General features: G+C 42.8%; 1 protein-coding gene and 1 pseudogene across 3 annotated transcripts in view; both read right to left on the bottom strand.

Moving 5' to 3' along the window:
- The window catches only part of NR1I2 (nuclear receptor subfamily 1 group I member 2), a 36,387-nt gene extending 16,138 nt beyond the window's left edge, over nucleotides 1-20,249 (bottom strand). For 2 of the 3 annotated variants that reach the window (NM_003889.4, NM_033013.3), the window contains exon 1: nucleotides 20,050-20,249. Coding sequence is in view for 1 of the 3 variants with exons in the window: in NM_022002.3 (NP_071285.1) it covers nucleotides 19,498-19,592 (95 nt within the window). In the remaining 2 variants the exon portion in view is untranslated. Of the gene's footprint in view, nucleotides 1-19,497; nucleotides 19,641-20,049 lie in introns of those variants that run through there. The other variant, NM_022002.3, reaches the window with a different exon arrangement.
- Nucleotides 9,640-10,580, bottom strand: PHB1P8 (PHB1 pseudogene 8; annotated as a pseudogene).

The raw sequence follows: 20,660 nt of genomic DNA, 5'->3' as shown, positions 1-20,660 counted from the left end.
TAAATCATGTCTAATTTACACTTTCCCCAATTTCTTAATGAGGAGATAGTAGAATTAATGCTAGAATCTCATTCCGCAGTATTTGTATAACTTTCATTTTGTTTTGCCCAAGTGTTAAGCAAGCCGACTCTGGCACATTCTATAGTTCCTTCTCTCATATGCTTATGAAGCCCCCGCTAGAGAACCCATTACAGCTGTTATCCAAGGTGGCCCCCAGGAGCCATGCCCCGAAAGATTCACACCCTTGTGCAGCCCCCTCCCATAATGAGTCTAGGATGGTCTGTGACTTGCTTAGTTAATAGAATGTGGGGAAGAGACAATTCTGGGTCTACGCTATAAGAAGCCTGGTAGCTTCTGCTTTTGTCTTTGGAGAGCCCTAAGCCACCATGCAACAAAGTCTGGCTACCCTGCTCAGTGACCACCCAAAGAGACCATGCGGAGAGGCCATGTGAAGAGGGAGAGGCCTGAGATCGCACCGATGAGACAGGACCAGCCACCCCAGCCTCCCGGCCGCCCTCACCAAACAGCAGATGTGTGAGTGAGCCCTCTTGGACTCCCCAGCCCAATTATGCCTCCAGGTGACTGCAGCCTTGGCCAAGGTCCTGTGATGCAGAAGAACTCCCCAGCTGAGCCCAGCCAACACAGAAAATCATGTCAGAAAATGAAACAGTGGTGGGTTTAATCCAGTGAGTTTAGGGGAGATTTGTTACACGGCAAGAAATAATGGAAGTGGAACCCCTGGAGTTGGGTTAGAAATAGATCTGAACTGTGGTGATGGGGGAGCCAGCCCAGCAGCTGCAGTCCTGCTCCCATGCCACTCTTCCATCACTGTTCCTTTACAGAATGTTGCCCTCTGGGCAGGAAAATGACAGTGACTGGGTGTCTGAGGTGTGCCAGCTACATCTCTCTTTCATGCAAATTTAGGGAGACCAATTAGATGTGTACTTTTAACTGAATACAACTGTGTTTGCTTCTGAGGGCTCCACCTGCTTCTCACGGTGCTTAGTAATCGGTGAAATCTCATCAGAAGAAGGTTGAAAGGATCATCTCCTGTACTGAGTGAAAGTAAACACTTCTTCAGAGAGGGCTTTGCAAAGATAATTAATTGTAAAATCCGGTATGCAGGGTAAGTATTAAAGCTAAGGACTACGTTCTCAGAAAGGAAGAATATAATTCATTTATTTAATAAATGAGTGAATAAATCAATGAATTTAGTCTTTCTACGTGACTAAAATTGTCAGTTTGCTGAAGGCACTGTCAGGCTGCACTGAGCACACACAGCCCCTCTCCTCTTCAGGTGAGTGATTCATTGACATTATTTAGCTGGGAGGAGGTGGAGCCAGAATCTCAACCCATGTCAGTCTGACTCCAAAACCTGTGTTCTTAATTCAGTGCTATGCTGCATCCTTCACAAGGTTTGTCTTTGAGTGGGTAAACCGTTTATTAAACTTTCTTCATTTCCATGATTGCCTGCAAACTTTTTCCTAGGTGGTTCACCCCAGACAGGGTCCCTCCATGCCATGGGACTCCTTTAATGTAGCTCTCTGTTCCCAGGCAGGAAGTGATTCCCTAAGACCCTCACTCCTTTTCTTGCCATTTCAATTCCAGCTATAGAAGAATGGACCGAGGAACCTTACTGCCACTCTGACCACATCCAGAGGCATCTTGTCCTATACGCTCTGAAGGGCTTGAGCCCAGGAGTTCAAGACCTGCCTGGGTAATACAGCAAGACCGCATTCTCCACAAAAAGGGGAAAAAAACGACCAAAAAACACCCTATGATTAATGAAAAATAAATGGAAGATAATATAGACAAAGGGATGAAGGCAAGAAAAGCTTCAAAGGAGAACTGTGATCTATGGAAAAGTAAAAGACCCATAATAGCCAAAATAATGTTGGAAGAGAATAACAAAGTTGGAGGACTTACACTTTTTGATTTCAAAACTTACAACAAAGCTAAAATAACCAAGATAATGTGGCATTAGTATAAAGACAGATATAGAGATTGATGGGTCATAATTGAGATTCAAGAAATAAACCCTTACTATTATCATTAATTGATCTCTGGTAAAAATGCAAGGCAATTCAATGGAGGAAAGGCCAGCTTTGCTAAAAAAAGGTGCTTGGAAAATTGGATATTCACATGCAAGATGAATTAAAGCTCTTATCTCGTGCCATACACAAAAATTTACTCAAAATGGATCACAAAATCATAGACCTAAATGTAAGAGCTATAACTATAAAACTCTGAGAAGAAAACAGGAATAAGTTCTTATGGTTAGGGAAAGATTTCTTAGATGTGACACCAAAAGCGTGAAGGCTTCGGGTATTATATGTCTTTGTGTGTGTGTGTGTGTGTGTGTGTTTGTTTGTTTGTTTGTTTGTTTTTTGAGACAAAGTCTCATCACGCAGGCTGGAGTGCAGTGGTGCACAACCTCTGCCTCCCAGGTTCAAGCGATTCTCCTGCCTCAGCCTCCTGAGTAGCTGGGATTACAGGTGCCTGCCACCACGCCCAGCTAATTTTTGTATTTTTAGTAGAGACGGGGTTTCACCATGTTGGCCAGGCTGGTCTCAAATTCCTGACCTTAGGTGATCCATGCCCCTCAGCCTCCCAAAATGCTGGAATTAGAGGCATGAACCACCACACCCAGCCTAGTTTTCCTTATAAAGCATATTACTGGTGGTTGGTAAGACAGATTGTCATATTACATTCGGAAGACTTATTCTATTCCTGTCTTTTAAAAGTTTTTTTTTGTTTGTGTTTGTTTGTTTTTTAATCAGAAAAAATATGGCACAAAAAAGTTGATAAATTGAACTTCATTGAAATTGAAAATGTTTGTGCTTTCTACACTATTAAGAAAGTAGAAAGATAAGACACAGACAGAAAATATTTTAAAAATCACATATCCCATAAGGGACTTGTATCCAGAATATATGAAGAACTCTTACAACTCAATAATATAAATACAAATAACCCAATTTAAAAATGAACAAAAGATTAAAATAGATATTTCACCAAAGAAGCTATGAATGACCAATAAACATGTGAAAATATACTCAAGAATATTGATTATTAGAGCAAGGCAAATTGAAACCACAAAGAAATACATCTTACAATACACAAGAATGGCTACAAATCAAAAAGAGGTAAGAATCGGCAATAATGTGGAGAAACTGAGCCCTTATGCACTGCTAGCAGGAGTGTAAAATGGTGCAGCCACTTAAGAAAACAATTGCTCAGTTACCTAAAATGTTAAACACATTCACCATAACTCAGCAATTCCACTTCTACATATCCACCCAAGAGAAATGAAAACCTATGCCCACACACAAAAACTGCACACAAATGTTCATAGCAGCATTATTCATAATAGCCCAAAACCCGACCCACATATTCATCAACCGGTTCGTGGATCAATAAAATGTGGAATGCACCTGGAATACTAATATACAATGAAATTCTATTCAGCGGTTTAAAAGAATGAAGGATAGATGCTACAGCACAGATGAACCTTGAAAACATTCTAAGTGAAAGAAGTATACCCAAAGACCGCATTTTGTATAGTTCCGCTTATATTAAATGTCCAGGAAAGGCAAATCCATAGAGAAAGTAGATTCGTGGTTGCCTGTGGCTGAGAGTGGAATAGAGAGTGGCTGCAAATGAACATGAGGTTTCTTTTTCTTTCTTTCTTTTTCTTTTTTTTTTTTTTTGAGACGGAGTCTCTCTTTGTCGCCCAGGCTGGAGTGCAGTGGCGCGATCTTGGCTCACTGCAAGCTCCGCCCCCCGGGTTCACGCCATTCTCCTGCCTCAGCCTCCCGAGTACTTTTTGGAGCATAGAAATGTCCTGGAATTAGATTTTGATGATAGCTGCACAACTCTAAATATACTAACAGTTATTCAATTGTTCACTTAAATGATTAGACTTTATGATACATAAGGTATCTCTCAATAATGCTATTTTTAAAAATAATCAACTGGACATTTCTGGACATTCCAGAAATTAATAGTACAATATCTGAAACTGACAACTCATTGGATGTTTTAACAACAGATTGAATCAGCAACAGACAGTGATAGTGAGTTCAAAATTAGGTCAACAGAAAATATATAAACCGAAGCACAGAAACAAACAAAAAAGAGCATTAAGAAAAGAACAGGGCGTAAGAGACACACGAGACTCAGTGAAATAGCCTAACATATGTTACGGACACAAGAATCGGACAGAAGCAATCTGGGAAAGCACACTTGCCAAGAAGTTTTTGAAACCAATGAAAGGATTAAAAACACACATACCTACCCACACATCGTAAAATTGCTGGGAATCGATGACAAGAAAACTAATCTTACAAATACCCAGAAAAAAAAAATTAACCACAAAGAAATAAAATTAAGATTAATGGTTGACTTTTCAGTTGAAATTGTAAAACAGAAAAGACAATGGTTAATATCTTTATTGCTATCCAAGAATTTGACCAATAGTTTAATTATCCTTCTATTGTAAAGGCAAAATAAAGACATTTTCAGACAAAGACTGAAGAATTTGTTGCCAGCAGATACTTGCATTACAAGTAATACCAAAGAAAGTTATCCTGGCAAAAGCCAGTGGGGAGCATGGAACTTCAGGAGGGAATATGGAGAACTAAAAAGGGTAAATATGTGGGTGCATATAAAACAATATTGAAGGTTTAAAACTACAATAATAATAATGTCCTGTATATGCTATCTTTTAGAGATATGTATGTATGTATCTGTGTGTGTAGATATGTATATATATAGAATTGAAATAGTGATGAATTTGGGGTTGGAATTATTTTCATTTTCTCCTCTATAATTGTCTGTATTTCCTCAGTTTTCCCTTTCCTCTTTAGAGTAAGAGTCCGATAGCTGAATGCCTGGAGGCTGACACCCCAGAGCACCACCTAAACAGCTTGAAGAAGGAGGTATGGTAGACGCAGAGGAAGGGCCATGACACCTCCTGCCTGGCCCACTGAGCTCTCCCATAAACAGATTGTTCCTGCTGCTTCCTCATGAGGCCATTTCCTTTCTGTGAATGCTGATTTTCAGTATAAGATCCCCTGTGTTTGTTTGGGGGTAATGGAGGAGCATTAGGACTTCATAAGAATGAGAAGGGGACACACACACACACACACACACACACACACATATCTTTGTGCAGTTACTTCATTTGCTAAGAGGCCCCAAATCCCCTATTAAAGGGAGAAGGGAGGTCTTCCATGAATGACACACACATAAACATGGGAATGACTGATTGTGACCAAACAGGACCCAGCTAGCCGGCAGCCTCCTGGAGGTCAGAGGACTTTGTTTTTTGCTCCTGGCGGCTGGAGATATAGTGGGCATTGTCTTGTTGTCATAGTCAGGAGGCCATGTCCTAGCCCTTGCCACTGATGTTGAACTAACTCACTTTACTCACTAACTTCTCTATGCTTAGTGTCTCTACAATAAAATGGAAGCTGCTGAGAGAGGCTGACATGGCTTTGGGCATGAAGAGGAAGAGGAGAGTGCACTGCTGCAGGGGCTGTTGCCATAGACAGATCTGGCAGGGCAAGAAGTGAGGAGAGAGAAGGTGGGAAGGAACCAGAAAGGCAGATGCCATGCTGAGGCTGGGCCAGGGGGAGCCCCCAGGAGAGCATGCCCTCCAGAGAAGACAAGTTTGAATGTGGAGGGAAAGAAATGAAGAAGAGCGGTGCAACTGGAGATAGCAATGGAGGAGAATTTGAAAGAAAATGTGTGTGAAGTTTCTGCTACAGAAGGAGCAAGGCTCCCAGGAGTATGTAGAGAGGAGAGGAATAGGGTTGGGAGGGAAGGGAAAAGGGGAGAGCAGTACAAGGCTTGAGTGAGCTCAGGGCTGGACAATGGAGCAAGGAAGGGATGCGAAGCAGCATTGAGGATTAGAACTAGATAGAACCTGCTGGGTGGAACATGACCAATGGAAGACAGTGGGTTCCAAGGAGGCTCAACAATGGGACTCTTGCAAGTCCCCTGTCTTGGGGCTGGGAAAGGAGTCAGGGAGAAATTTCAGGTCATGTCAGGCTGAATGAGACCCTGCTTCAATTCCAGGGACCTGGGGTTTTCTGATCAACAGGGGATTAAGCCGTGAAGTGCGGTACACTTGGTGTGAGTGTTTAAGTGATTTGAGATGACTCAGTGGTACAGGGTAGATCACAACTACAAACTAGAAAAAAATCACAAAGTTGAACATGGTCCTCCCCCTACAGAAGAAACATGAGGAAGAGGAGGACTAAAGAGAAGTGCTGGGAGAAGACTTTGTGCCTTGGGGGAAAGTGAGAGGCAGGGAGGTGATCCACTAGTGACCTTTGGAGTCAAATATTTAGAGACTCAGTGTGAGAACACGGGTGAGTGCTGCAGATACATTTGGGCCAAACAGGAATTGGGTACAGACATGGGAAGTGGTCATCTTTAGTGCAAGAAAGAATGAAATGATCAGTAGAAGGTGCAAGACACTGCCTATTAGGTTGGGAAGTTTAGTGATGATGTAGGGCAAAGGAGAAAATCCCACTATATATTTCTAGCAAAATACTAGAAAAGGGATGATCTACAGGAGAGAAGCCCTTGTCAGGGCGTGGTGGGATATAGTTTGAGAAACACAGAGAGAGGGAAAACTAAGGCAGTGAGAATGGGGGGATTGTAGTTTAGAAAGAGTCAAGAAGCCAAGTGAAAGAAATTCAAGCAAAAGAACAGAACCCAGCCTTGACTATTTCCAGGCACCGGCAATGGGAGGGAGGAGGCAGCATTAGGAGATGAGGAAGGCAGATTAACGGGGAGCCCAGAGAAACTGCAGGTGATGGGCATGTTTCTTAAGAGAATAGGAGAAAAGAAGAGGGCTGCTGGCCATGCAGAGGCTAGAGAAGAGTCACAAGGAAAGGCAGACACCCAGCAGTGCTGTGTGGTCCTAAACAAGGGAGGCAGGGCTGACTGGCTGAGCAGAGCAGGAGACTGAAGGAATTCACAGTACAATGCCTCAGAGCCCTTTTATGTCCCTCTCCTGCCCCACCCTCTTCCCATCCCCCTGCAGGCACACAAAGCTTATCTGTTACTGAGTCATCCCTTAAGGTCTGCCTATGTTGCACTTTGCCCTGCTAAAGGACTCTCCAGGGTCACAGCCGGAGAGTCGCTGTCTGGGACACAGCTAGTCTCCACTTCTGCACTTGCCCAGCTCCCTTACTGGCCTGTGCACTGACCAACCCCAGCCAAGAGCCAACTCCCCAGCTAGTGGTGTTTGGAAGAGCAATTTCATCTGGTGTTCAGGTTAGTCAATGGGCAAGTAGAGGTGCCCTTTAGTCAGCTTACGTGGGTTCTGAGGCTTACACAATTTGGGCAGTCCTATTTTATTTTATTTTACATTATTTAATTTAATTTACTTATTTTGAGACAGAGTTTCAATCTTGTCACTCAGGCTGGAGTGCAAAGGCACGATCTTGGCACACTGCAACCTGTGCCTCCTGGGTTCAAGCAATTCTCCTGGCTCAGCCTCCCAAGTAGCTGGGACCGCAAGGCATGGGCCACTACACCAGATTAATTTTGTATTTTCAGTAGAGACAGGTTTTTCACCATGTTGGCCAGGCTAATCTTGAACTCCTGACCTCAGGTGATCCATCTGCCTTGGCCAACCAAAATGCTGGGATTACAGGCATGAACCATGGCGCTTGGCCTGGGCAGTCCTATTTAAGAAAAAAGAATATAGGCCAGGTGTGGGGGCTCATGCCTCTAATGTCAGCACTTTGGGAGGCTGAGGTGGAAGGATCAATTGTGAGGAGTATGAGACCAGCCTGGACAATATAGCAAGACCCTATCTCTTAAAAAAAAAAAAAAAAAGGCTGGGTGAGTGGCTCACACCTATAATCTCAGCACTTTGGGAGGCCAAAGTGGGAGGATCACTTGAGCCCAGGAGTTCGAGACATGCCTGGGTGACATGGTGAGATCCTGTCTCTACAAAAAAATTTAAAAATTAGCCAAGTGTGGTGGCACGTACCTGTGGTCCCAGCTACTCAGGAGGCTGAGATGAAAAGATTACGTGAGCCCAGGAGGTCGAGGCTGCAGTGAGCCATGTTCACACAACTCCAGTCTGGGCAACAGAGTGAGACTCTATCTCAAAAAAAAACACCCCAAAAAAACAAACAAACAAAAAAACTCAGCCAGGCATGTTGGTGCATGCCTGTAGTCCTAGCTACTTGGGAGGCTGAGGTGGGAGGATTGCCTGAGCCCAGGAATTCAAGGCTGTGGTGAGCTAGGATTGTGCCACTGCATTCCAGCCTGGGTGACAGAGTGAGACCCTGTCTAAAAAATAATTTTAAAAAACACGCAATTACAAATACAAAATTATGTACCGAAGAGAATATTTGTAAGAAAGAATGAGAAAAGAAATCACAACAAATGACAGACATTAAAAAGGACAAGTAACAACATCACAGAATTCAGAAAAATGTCATAACACTTTCATTAATTAATTGCCTGGCATGCCTCTATAATGTTTTTGATCGTGTCCTTATGGTAGATAGAATAAAGGCCCTCAAAGATGTCTGCACCCTTATCCCCAGAACATGTGAATATGTTTCCTTATATGGCAAAAGGGTCTCTGCAGATGTGATGAGGGTACAGAACCTGGAGATGGGGAGTGTGCTGAATTATCCAGGCAGGCCTAGTCTAATCACATGAATCTTAAAATTAGAAAAGCTTTCCTGGGTTTGATCAGAGAAAGAGACGTAATGTGGAAAAAGGGTCAGATGCTAAGTTGCTGGCTTTGAAGATGGAAGAAGGGGCTGTGAGCCAAGGATTGCCACGGCATCTAGAAGCTGGAAGAGGTGAGGAAACTGATCCTCCCCTACAGCCTCCAGAAGGCAGCCTCCACTGATTGGGCAGAGTTGGGATCGCTTGGCCCACGGTGGTCCTGTCCTGCCTCTCTGCTGCACTGTAACTCTTTAATCTTGCCTGAGTGGTAAGGATTGAGGCTGTTCATTTTCCTTGTGGTAACTCTGGAGGGGAAAAAGTGGACTTTGGCTAGAAGAGAATGGGTGGGCAGCAAGTTTCCAGAGTTACAGTGAGATCTGATTGTGTTAGTCCATTTTGTATTGCTACAAAGGAATCTGAGGCTGGGTAATTTATGAAGAAAAGAGGTTTGTTTGGCTCGTGCTTCTGAAGGCTGTACAAGCTTGGCACCAGCATCTGCTTCTGGTGAGGTCTCAGGAAGCTTCCAAGCATGGTGGAAGGTGAAGTGCGAGCCGGCATGTCACACAGCAAGAGGGAGCAAGAGAGAGAGGAGGTGCCGGGCTCTTTAAACAACCAGCTCTTCTATGAACTAAGAGTGAGAATCACTCATTACCGAGGGTACCAAACCAGTCATGAGGGATCCACCCCCATGACCAAACACCTCCCACTAGGCCTACCTCCAACATTGGAGGCCACGTTTCTTTTTTTTTGTTTGTTTTTTGTTTTTGAGACGGAGTCTTCCTCTGTCACCCACTCTGGAGGGCAGTGGCGCGATCTCAGCTCACTATATCCTCTGCCTCCTGGGTTCAAGTGATTCTCCTACCTCAGCTTCCCGAGTAGCTGGGATTACAGGTACATGCCACCACGTCCAGCTAAATTTTTTTTTTCTTTTTTGAGATCTGAAGTGATTTTATCTGTATTTCCTTCACTTTAAGCCAATCATGAAATTTCACAGTGATTTCTGGAGTGGAGGCAGAAGGAAGGCAGTGTTAAGAATCACTGGGGCTGTGGCCTAGTTGGCCCATGGAGGTGCAGGCAGGGTGGGCCCTCACTGGGGCAGCTGGAGGAGCACGGACTGCCCTGCCGGCAGATTGGTGATGTTCCAAGAGCGAGAGAGCTGGTACGTGATGTCCTCTGCAGCTTCCAGCTTGCACAGCTCCATCAGGCCGTCCCCTGCAGTGGCCAGTGAGTTCTGGCCCTCTCTGCATCCTGCTGAGCCACCTGTTTGGCTTCCACTGCTTCTGTGAACTCCTTCCTGAAGGTCAGATGTGTCAAAGACACATCATCCAGGATGAGCCCAAAGGTGGCTGCTCGCTCCATAAGGTCGTCGCTCACCTGCCTGGAGACCAGTTCTCTCTGGGTGATTAGTTCTCCAGCATCAAAGCGAGCCACCACTGACTTGAGGATCTCAGTAGTGATGGATGGCAGCACACGCTCATCATAGTCTTCTCCGATCCTGGTGAAGATGCGAGGAAGCTGGCTAGTGACAGGCCCAAAGAGGATGCACGGAATGATATTGACATTCTGTAAATCTTTGCTACCAGTGATGACTGGCACATTATGTGGTTGAGAACGGTGGTCAAAGATAATTGGTTTCTGTACCCATGGTATGAGAAAGTGAGTCCCTTACCCTACCACAATGTCCTGTACTCCACAGAATCGGTCAAAGATGACAGTTCTGTGCCCAGCATCCATGTTATATAAGGCAGAGTTCACCATGCCTTCTGCAACAGCTAAGGCCAGTCCAAACTTGCCGATGGACTCAAACACTTGGCAGCTATGTTTTCTTCTGTTGAACCCTCTCACACCTGTTTCCACTCTGAACTCCACATCTAATTTTTGTATTTTTAGTAGAGATGGGGTTTCACCATGTTGGCCAGGCTGGTCTCAAACTCCTGACCTCAAGTGATCCGCCCGCCTCAGCCTCCCAAAGTGCTGGGATTACAGTTGTGAGCCACTGAGCCCGGCCTAGAGGTCATATTTCAACATGAGATTTGGAAGGGATAAAACATCCAAACCATATCACTGATTTTGACAAGAGACCCATCAAGTAACTTTTTTTTAGGACAGGGATGATCAAAGAATGCTTTTGATAGAAAATGGTATTACTTCCTTCCTCCATCAGAAGAAGACAGGTGTGTCACATGAGCTGTCAACATTGGTGAAGCAATCACACAAGGGGACAAATGGTGTTACATAGGAGTGTTCACAGCCTCCCACCTCTCCTTGTACAGGAGACTCTCATAGATGTTAATCTAGCCTGACATTGCAGGAGGAGGCCACTCTGGAGGCCAAGCCCACCCCAAACCTGCTCTCAGAGAAGCTCCTGGTGCCCAAGCAAAGGTCCATAGGCCTTCTGGGGCCTATGAGGGATGGTGTAATTGCTCTGTCCCAGGGACAAGTAATTCCCTGGCCCATTTAGATCCTCTTCTAGTGAGTCTGGATGTCAGACATACAGACAGAGCTAAGTTATAAGGTCTGCTGGCTGGACTGCTGCCCAGGGGGCTGCCATATTCAAAGACACCAAAACATTATTGGAATGAATCAGAAATCAGGTGAATTTTAGATTGCCTCCTTTCCTACCAAAGCAGTCATCACCCTGAGGTGGAGACTTAAAACACTCCTTGACAATGCAGACTAGTATCTGTACGGTGCTCAGGGACACTCACATGCCTGTCACACAGGGCCACTCCAGCCAACCCAACCCTGAGGACAGCCCATTGAAGTTGGCAGACAGAGCCAGAAATGGAAAAATATGTGGTGTAGGGCTGTTTGCAAGGAAGAAATGTACTGTTTTATTATGTGAACACTTAAACATGCCTTCCAAGAAGTTGTGTGGTTTGGAAAATTACACAGAATAAATTATTTATTTTGACCATAAAGAACATAGTACACATTTAAAAGAACATCACTTGCCAACAAGCACATGAAAAAGTACTCAACATCGTTAATCATAAGGCAAATGCAAAGGGAAACCATAATGAAACATCACTTTATATTCAGGATGGCCGCTATCACATAAACAGAAAATAACAAGTGTTGGCAAGGCTGTAGACAAATGGGAACCTTGGACTCAGGTGGTAGGAATGTAAAAATGGTGTAGCCATTATAGATAACAATATGGCAATTTCTCAGAAAATTGAAATAGAATTATCATATAATTCAGCAACCATTTCTGGATGTATATCCAAAAAGAACTGAAATCGGGGTCTTGAAGAGATATTTGTACACTGATGTTCACAGCAGCACTATTCGCAATAGACAAAATGTAGAAGCAACCCAAATTTCATCAACTGATGAATGGATAAACAAAACATGGGACATACTACAATAGAATATGAGTCAGCCTTAAAAAAAAGGAAATTCTAACACATGCTACAATACGGATGAACCTTGAGGACATTATGCTAAGTGAAATAAGCCAGTCACAGAAAGACAAATATGAGGTATAGTAGTCAAGCTCATGGAAGCAGAAAGTAGAATGGTGGTTGCCAGGGGCTGTGGGGTGAGGGGAATGGGAGTTGTTTAATGGGTAGAGTTTCCATCTTAAAAGATGAAAAACCTCTGGAGATTGGCTGCACAACGATGAAAACATACTTCACATTATTGAGCTATACACTTAGAAATGCTTAAGATGGTAAAATTTGTTATTTGAATTTTACCAGAACTAATTAATTTTTCAATCCTGCTCCTTCTGTATATTTTACAAATTAAAAAAAGAACATCACCAAATAAATGTTGATCAAATATTTAAATAATATTTAAATTGAATTTAAATTGAAAAGGAAGCCAAAATAGTAGACTGGTTGGGGTGCCTCAGTCCTGCCCTGTGCATGGCAGCCACAGTGCACTCAGAGAGAAGGCAGGACAGGGAAGCTGTGAAGCAGGAAGGGCCCCGAGGAAACAGAAGTTGTGAGGAGGAGAAGCAGCAGAAAGAAAGGAAACAAAGGAAAGTAACATCAATAGTTGATATGGTTTGGCTGTGTCCCCACCAAAATCTCATCTGGAATTGTAGCTTGCATAATGCTACATATGTGGGAGGGACCTGGTGGAAGGTAATTGAATCATGGGGGCGGTTCCCCCAATACTGTTCTCATGGCAGTGAATAAGTCTCATGAGATCTGATGGTTTTATAAGGGGAAACCCCTTTCGCTTGGTTCTCATTCTCTCTCTTGCCTGACACCATGTAAGACATGCCGTTTGCCTTCCACCATGTTTGTGAGGCCTCCCCAGCCACATGGAACTGTGAGTCCATTGAACCTTTTTTTCTTTGTAATTTACCCAGTCTCAGGTATGTCTTTATCAGCAATGTGAACATGGACTAATACAGTAGTTAAAAGCACTACAATCAGGAAGAAAAAGATAACCATGTCAATTAAAGTGCATTTGATCCCAACCTGAGTTCTGAACTACATTTTAATCTCTAGGAGGTCAGGGCCCTGGCAATTGAGATTTTTGCCTTCCTTCTCTCCCATGCCTGCTTCAGAAGTGCCCCCGTTTAAGGTAACCTGGAGCCTGTGCTTACAATCTAAGAGAGTGATGCTCCAGCTTTCAAGTACATACAGATCACCCAGGAGCTTATGAAAATGCAAATTCCCATTCAGTAGGTCTGTGGTGGGTCTGAGCTTCAGCATCTCACAAGCTCCCAGGTGAGCTGATGCTATGGGTCTGCAGTCCACACTTGCAGTAGTAGCAGGGAAATCCAACTAACCAGACAGAAAATTGGCAGTACACAAACAGACTGGCATGGAGAAGATGATCTTGTCAATAAAAACAACTTTATGGTGCTAGGAAATAAAATAAATAATCAAAGAGATATGTGAAATGACTCACATTATAAATTGTTGTTTAAAGTCAATATACAGGCCGGGCACAGTGCCTCACACCTGTAATCCCAGCACTTAGGGAAGCTGAAACAGGAGGATCATTTGAGGCCAGGAGTTCGAGACAAGTCTGGGCAATACAGTGAGATGCCATCTCTACAAAAAAATAAAAAATTAGCCAAGTGTGGTGACATGTGCCTGTAGTCCCAGCTACTTGGGAGGCTGAGGCAGGAAGAACACTTGAGCCCAGGAGGTCAAGGCTACAGTGAGCCATGATTGTCCCACTGCACTGCAGCCTGGGCAAGAGAATGACACCTTGTCTCAATCAAATGAAAATAAATAAATAAATTTGTATAATGATGGCCAGGGATGGTGGCTCACACCTGTAATCCCAATGCTTAGGGGGGCTGAGGCAGGAGGATCACTTGAGGCCAGGAATTTCAGATGAACCTGGGCAACAACATGAGACTTTGTCTCTACCAAAAATAAATTTTAAAAGTGTCTGGGCATGGTGGCACACACCTGTAGTCCCAGCTCTCTGGGGGGCTGAGGCGGGAGGATCACTTGAGCCCAGGAGTTCGAGACTGCAGTGAGCCATGATCATACCACTGCTCTCCAGCCTAGGTGACACAGCAAGACCCTGTCTCTTAAAGTAATAATAATAATAATTTTTTAAAAAGTCAATGTACTTTGAGGGTGAGATAGTTCCTTCCCAGGAAAAGGATGTGGGGAGGACATACAGATAAATTTAGTCTTCAAATGAGTCAAAGCACAAGCTTTGGAACCAGGTCACTGAGATTATGGGAAGAGAAGAGTGGGCAACTTGAATTTGAAGCAACAGAGTCTAAGTAAAAGGGGGTAAATGGATAAAAAAACAAAAATCATAATCTTTGGGATAGAAACTCTTGGAGATAGCAGGATTATATTTAATTATGTGTGTGTGTATACATACATATACATACACACGATTACATATATTTAATTATGTGTGTATACACACATATATATACACACACGCATAATTAAATATATATATAATCATCCTACTATCTCCAAGATACACATACACACCACACACACACACACACACACACACACACACACACACACACACACACACATATTAATAGCAGAACTGGCCAGAGGATAAAGAGAAAAAAGCAAGTAAGGGGAATGTAATATAAGAATACTGAATTTCTAAGATGCAGGCAAGTGATGCCTATAAAACCATTGACGTTGTTCAGTGAAGGGAGACGTTTGGTGAATTTAACTCACATTTGCACAAGTTTTGCTGTTTACAAAATGATTTCAAAATTACAACTTCATGTCAAGGTGCCTGTGAGGAAGGCAGGGCAGGGCTTATCCCAAGTTGAATAAGGGAGTCGGGGGCAGGGCAGTTCTTATTATCCCTTTTGCAAATGAGGAAACTGGGGCTCTGGGGTGTGTTCCAGTTCATGAAGTCAATTAATGACGGAACTTTTTTTTTTTTTTTGGAGGCAGTCTCACTCTGTCCCCTAGGTTGAAGTGCCATGGTATGATCTCTGCTCACTGCAACCTCCACCTTCTGGGTTCAAATGATTCTCGTGCCTCAGCCTCCCAAGTAGCTGGAATTACAGGTGTGTGCCACCACACCTGGATTATTTTTGTATTTTTAGTAGAGACGGGTTTTCGCCATTTTGGCCAGGCTGGTCTTAAACTCCTGACCTCAAGTGATCCACCTGCCTCGGCCTCCCAAGGTGCTGGGATTACAGGCATGATCCACCATGCCTGGCCAGAACATCTTTTCTTTTCCCTTATTCTGATTCTTCCTGTCATGTAAATAGATACATGATGCAAGTTGTTTTTTCACAGAATTCATGGGGGCAAAATGAGGCTATATGTTTTAAATTCTTTATGAAACAAATCAAGTATTATTAACAAAACCTCCTCACTGGCCCTGGCATGGGGCAGGCCTCCAGAGGAAACTCAGATAGCCAAAGTCACGGTTTATGAATTCAAGAAAGAGAAGTCAGCTGCTCTCTTCAGGGGGCCATAAATGAAAATTGGCCTTTATGCTTCCTGGGACTTGGTCATCAGATCCAAGAGGTCAGAAGGTTACTAGACACAGATCAGGGTTGAGAGCTGGCACCAGCCCAGGTCATAAGTACACACAGTACCCTCTTCCAATATTTAACAGGACACAGTGGCCTCTGAGTTAACTGCCTATGTCTTATCAATGCATGTGTAGTGCCAGTGTTGCCTGTGGTTTTATAGTTTGACTCTTTGGAACTTACACAGATCCAGGAAAATTATTTCAAACATTACATGAGGGATTTGGATATGTCTCTTTATGTCAATTTCCAGTTGGATATTCAGTTTGTTATATCGATGTTTCAAAGAGGTTCAGGAGGTGTTGCAGGGAACTTTTCCCAGCCCCCTTCAAATTGTGCCACCTAAAAAGCCCCTGTATGCAAGAGAGGTTCCCTACACATTCCTCCTGTCCTCCCCAGGTTGTGCCCAGGACACCAATATCTGAAGTGTGAGGGCAAGAGTCTGATGGCTCAACAAACAGAACGTGGCAACCACACTAAGAATTTGAATTAATGTTGTCCACGTTCCCTGAATTTATTGTTCTTTTTAATGGAAAAATCATGGGTCTGCATTCCAAGGGTCCTAGTGGCTATTGGATCATCTCTGCTTCTATCACCCTTGGGATGAGCTATATAATTAACTATGGAGATATGATAAGGAAATTAATCAATGCTTAACAGCATTTAATAAAACTCAATATTCATTCATGATTTAAAATTCTTGGTTAACCAAGAGGAATAGAAGAGAGCTTCACTAACTTGATATGGAATAGTTACTAAACACTTTTACTAGCTATCTTATTGGAGAAGCATTAGAATCAATCTCATTAAAATAAAAAATAAAGATTTTATTGCTGGCACTATGATGGAGAAGTTGGTTACAGAAAATCCTCCTGGTATGCAGCACCTAGAAATACTAAATTTTTAAGAATGTCATTTTTCATGCAGGATTGAGCTGGTAGGAAAGTAAAGGAAGTCTCAAGAGGCCAAAATTTATAAGATTATGCTAAGCCAGAGGCATGAGAAAGGGAAGTCATGATCATCCTGGAGTTTTCTGGACTCCTGTAGGCCTGGGGCCTGGATTTTAATGGTAGAATAGGAGACAAAGCCTGGAGCCTAACCAGATCATAGACTATAAACTCAAGATCCCCTAAGGGTGACATCCTCAGTAGAAACCATGGAGGGAGACAGGTCTATCCCAGGCCTTCTCAGCCTTGGCTCTGGGTAGAGCAAAAAGAAAAGTCTCCTTTGAAATTCTTAACAACAGGCCTGCAATCAAGTAAGTTTGGGTCAGGATTCTCACTATTTGTGTGGCCAGTAGACCCCAAGCTTATGGTGGTCCCAGTTAGTTCTGTCCTCAGGTTCCTGGCAAAAGCAAAAATAAATCCTCTAGAGGAAAACAATTTCAATCTCAACAAGTCCCAAAGAGAAGTTTCCAAATGAGTTCATAGTACAAAATAAAAATGGAAATCAGGAACATGACAAGAATTCCTAGGACATCTAAGTGTTTGTAAAGAGTATCTCCTAGAATTGTGCAGTATAGAACCCACACAACTGTATGCATCACTTCTGAGACTATCTACTTTCATGGCTACTACTCAGCATTATGCTGAATGGCAAAGAAAAACCAATAAGACACAAAAAATTAAGGTTTGTAAAGATTGGAAAGGAAGGAGCAAAACTCTTACTATATATAGATGATATGTTTGTCTAACTAGAAATTCCAAAGGAATCAACTGATAAGCTTTTATAACTATTAAGAGAATTCCATAAGGTAACTAGGCAAAATATCAAAACACAAAATAGATTTTCTATTTATTGGGGGAAAAAATCAAGTAGAAAAGGTAAACATTATAGTGGAAATTGGCTCAGGAATAGGAAATAAATACAAAAGGACACAGAAATGGACATGTGTAAGTGGGAATTTAGTACATGATAGAGGTGATATTTCAAACAAATAGGAAAAAGATGGACTTTTCAATAAATAGTATTGAAATAATGTATTGCAATAAGTGCCAGGTGAATAAAGACTAACTTTTTAAATAAAAGTATTACAGGAAGGTGCACCAAAGTAGCTTCATAATTTTGGAAGTTGAGAAATCTTTTAAAAATCAGCCTCAAAGAGTAAAATCCAGAAAGAGGGAAACTAACAGATTCAACTACATCAAAATAACAACAACAATAATAGTAAAAATTTCTGTTGGCTAAAAAGTATGATTTAAACAAAGCTTAGAGAGAATATTACACACATATCAAATAATTTGCATTGAGAATAAATAAAAAACTCCTACAAAGAAGAAAAAAAATCCGACATAAAATAAGCTAAGGATATGAATAGGTAATTTAAGAAGAGAAATACAATGGCCAAGAGGGGTCCTATAAAAAGAATGCTCAACTTCATTAATAATCAGGGAAATTAAAATATTGAAATAATGGGTTGTCATTTGCACTAATTCAATGGAAAAAATAATAAAATACTGAATAAACAGCAAGCATTGTTTGGAGTGTGGAGGAACAGTAACTATCCTTCTCTGCTGGTGGGAGTACAGTCGGTTCGGGTACTGTGGAGGGCTGTTTGGCAGCCAAAAATTGAACCACATATATCCTGTGATGTGGCAATTCAACGTCTTAGTAGTTCCTCTAGTGCAATACGTGCACATGTCTAGAAGCAGACAAACACAGTGAGGTTCATTGGTAAGACTGAAAAATTGGAAAAGCTTAAATATCTATCGAAAAGAAAACGGCTAAATAAAAGAAGTGTACACTGTGAAATATGACGTAGCAGTTAAAATAAATGAAGTAGAGCTCTATACAGATATGGAAAGTCTCCAAGTCTTGCTATTGAGTGGAAAAACAGAATTAGAACAACATGGCAACAGATAGGTTTAATAGTCCATCTATGCATAGATGAACACACACACAGACACAATGGTCTGGCAGTAAATATATCACACTAAGTACTTTTGGGGAAACTGGAGATTAGGATTGACAGAATGGCCAAAGGTGAATTTAGGTTTATCTATACTGCTTTCTCATTTTCAAGGAGCATGAAATCATGTATTACTTTATAATTTAAAAAGTTATTACCTAAAAAACCTAGTCTAGTCAGTTTTGTGGTTGTCTTGGGTTTATTCCATAATAATTTTGGAACAAGTTGACAGCTTTTAGATCAGGAGTTGGCAAACTTTTTCTGTTAAAGGCCAGATAGTTAATATTTTAGGCTTTGTGGGCCATACTGTCTCTTTCGCAATTGGTCAATTTTGCTGACTCAATGAATCAGCTATAGCAGGCACTATTCCTCTCCCACATGGCCTCTAATGATATGGCCAGAGTTGAAAGGATGTTGTAGGGCAAAAACAGCCATATACAATACATAACGAATGGGCATGGCTGTGTTCCAATAAAGCTTCATTTATAAAAACAGCTGGTGGGCCAGAGTTAGCCTGTGAGCCATAGTTTGTCAACCCCAGGTTTAGACTTTTATGACATAACTAAAATATTTTTAAAGCGTATTTGTGTACCACAAAATACTTTTTCCCATTAACCAACTGATTAAATAAGCCTCTGAGGCCTCCCTTAGCATCCTTTCAACTCTGACCATATCATTAGAGGCCATGTGGGAGAGGAATAGTGCCTGCTATAGCTGATTCATTGAGTCAAGACTCAGTGGCCTCAGAGGTGTCTGTTGACCTGTCCTAGATATGGAGTGGCCTTAAAGCAGTGCCTCTGGCCATAGCTTCAGCCGAGCTGGGCTGTAAAGTGGAGAGAAGAAGGACCTGGTGGCACTGACCACATGCAGGCAAGACTCGGTTCTGTGGGACAAGGTGCCCTTTCAATAGTAGAGGTAGAAAACTCACTGGTTTGAAGCCAACTCAGCCGCAGCACTGTGCAGGGGTATGGCAGGTGCTCTGAGGGACCCCTCCTTGAAGTGGTGAGTCCTGGTGACTGTCATGCTGCTGTCCTTGGCCTCAGGGGGCTGCCAGCACTAACCCAGCAGGCCAAAAGGAATCAGGACTGAGTTGATCCCAGTTCCCATAGTCCCCAGCTCCCACAGTCCTTGGAGGTGGTATTTCCTGGGTCCAGGGACTCCAGCCCTGTAACAGGGAGCTGGTTGTATGTGTGACTTGTGGTAACTCATGCAGTAGTTAAGGCTTCTCCTGTGGTGATTTTTCTAGGAGGCTAGTGCAGGACCAGAGAGCATCAGTAATGGGGCTCAACATTAAGTGATTGTTTTCATGCTTTTTTTTTTCCACCCTAGAAATGAGGAGACAGCAGCAAGGCCAACATGATTCACGACCCACTATGATGCTGACCTCAAACAGAAGGTATATTTGTGTTCACACACATCTTTTGGCTGGAGCTGAAGGGCGGTCAGCCCCCAGCAAAAGAGAAAGAAAGAAAAACCATACCTGCTTGGTGGTAAGTTCTTTGCTCCGACTTCTCCCCTGGGGTCCACTTTGAACAATCCGGTGCAAAGGATCGATCAAGGAGTAGCTTTACCAAGGAGCCGCTGCCTTGTTCAGGACAGGAGTATTAGCTTATTCTCTTGCTTTTCTCACTGTGAACACTTGGCTTGCAGGCTGAGGCCGAGATTCCCACTGAAGTAAAGGCAGTGCTTCCTCTTCCCGTCCTAGTCATAGGTTATGATTTCCCCGGATATGAGACAATCTTGTCTCTCACCTATATTTCAGTCCAAGTCAGATGTAGGCACTAAGCGGCTCCATTGCCCCTCCTAAGTCCCAAGTCCAGCACTTGAACTAGCAAATGAAGAGATTACCGTATTTGTTCTCATTATGTTCTCCCTACTTTTTTCTTTCAGGTCTCTTCACTACAAAAACACAGGAAAAGGGGAAGAGAGTGGCAAATATCCGCTTTGTCTAAGTAATTCTGAGTGCATTTCATCAGTCTGAGGGTCTCTGTCCTTTACCACTAGGGGCAACATTAATTTGAACCTAGATCTCCTTATACTTCCTCCTTTGTTGAAACCACCTCCCTGGATAGTGTTACTTGATGTGAAAGT

This window comes from Homo sapiens, chromosome 3 (genome assembly GCF_000001405.40).
Source record: "Homo sapiens chromosome 3, GRCh38.p14 Primary Assembly".
Lineage (NCBI taxonomy): Eukaryota > Metazoa > Chordata > Mammalia > Primates > Hominidae > Homo > Homo sapiens.
The sequence above is the reverse complement of the archived record's forward strand: the minus strand, read 5'-3'. Positions and strand labels throughout refer to the sequence as shown.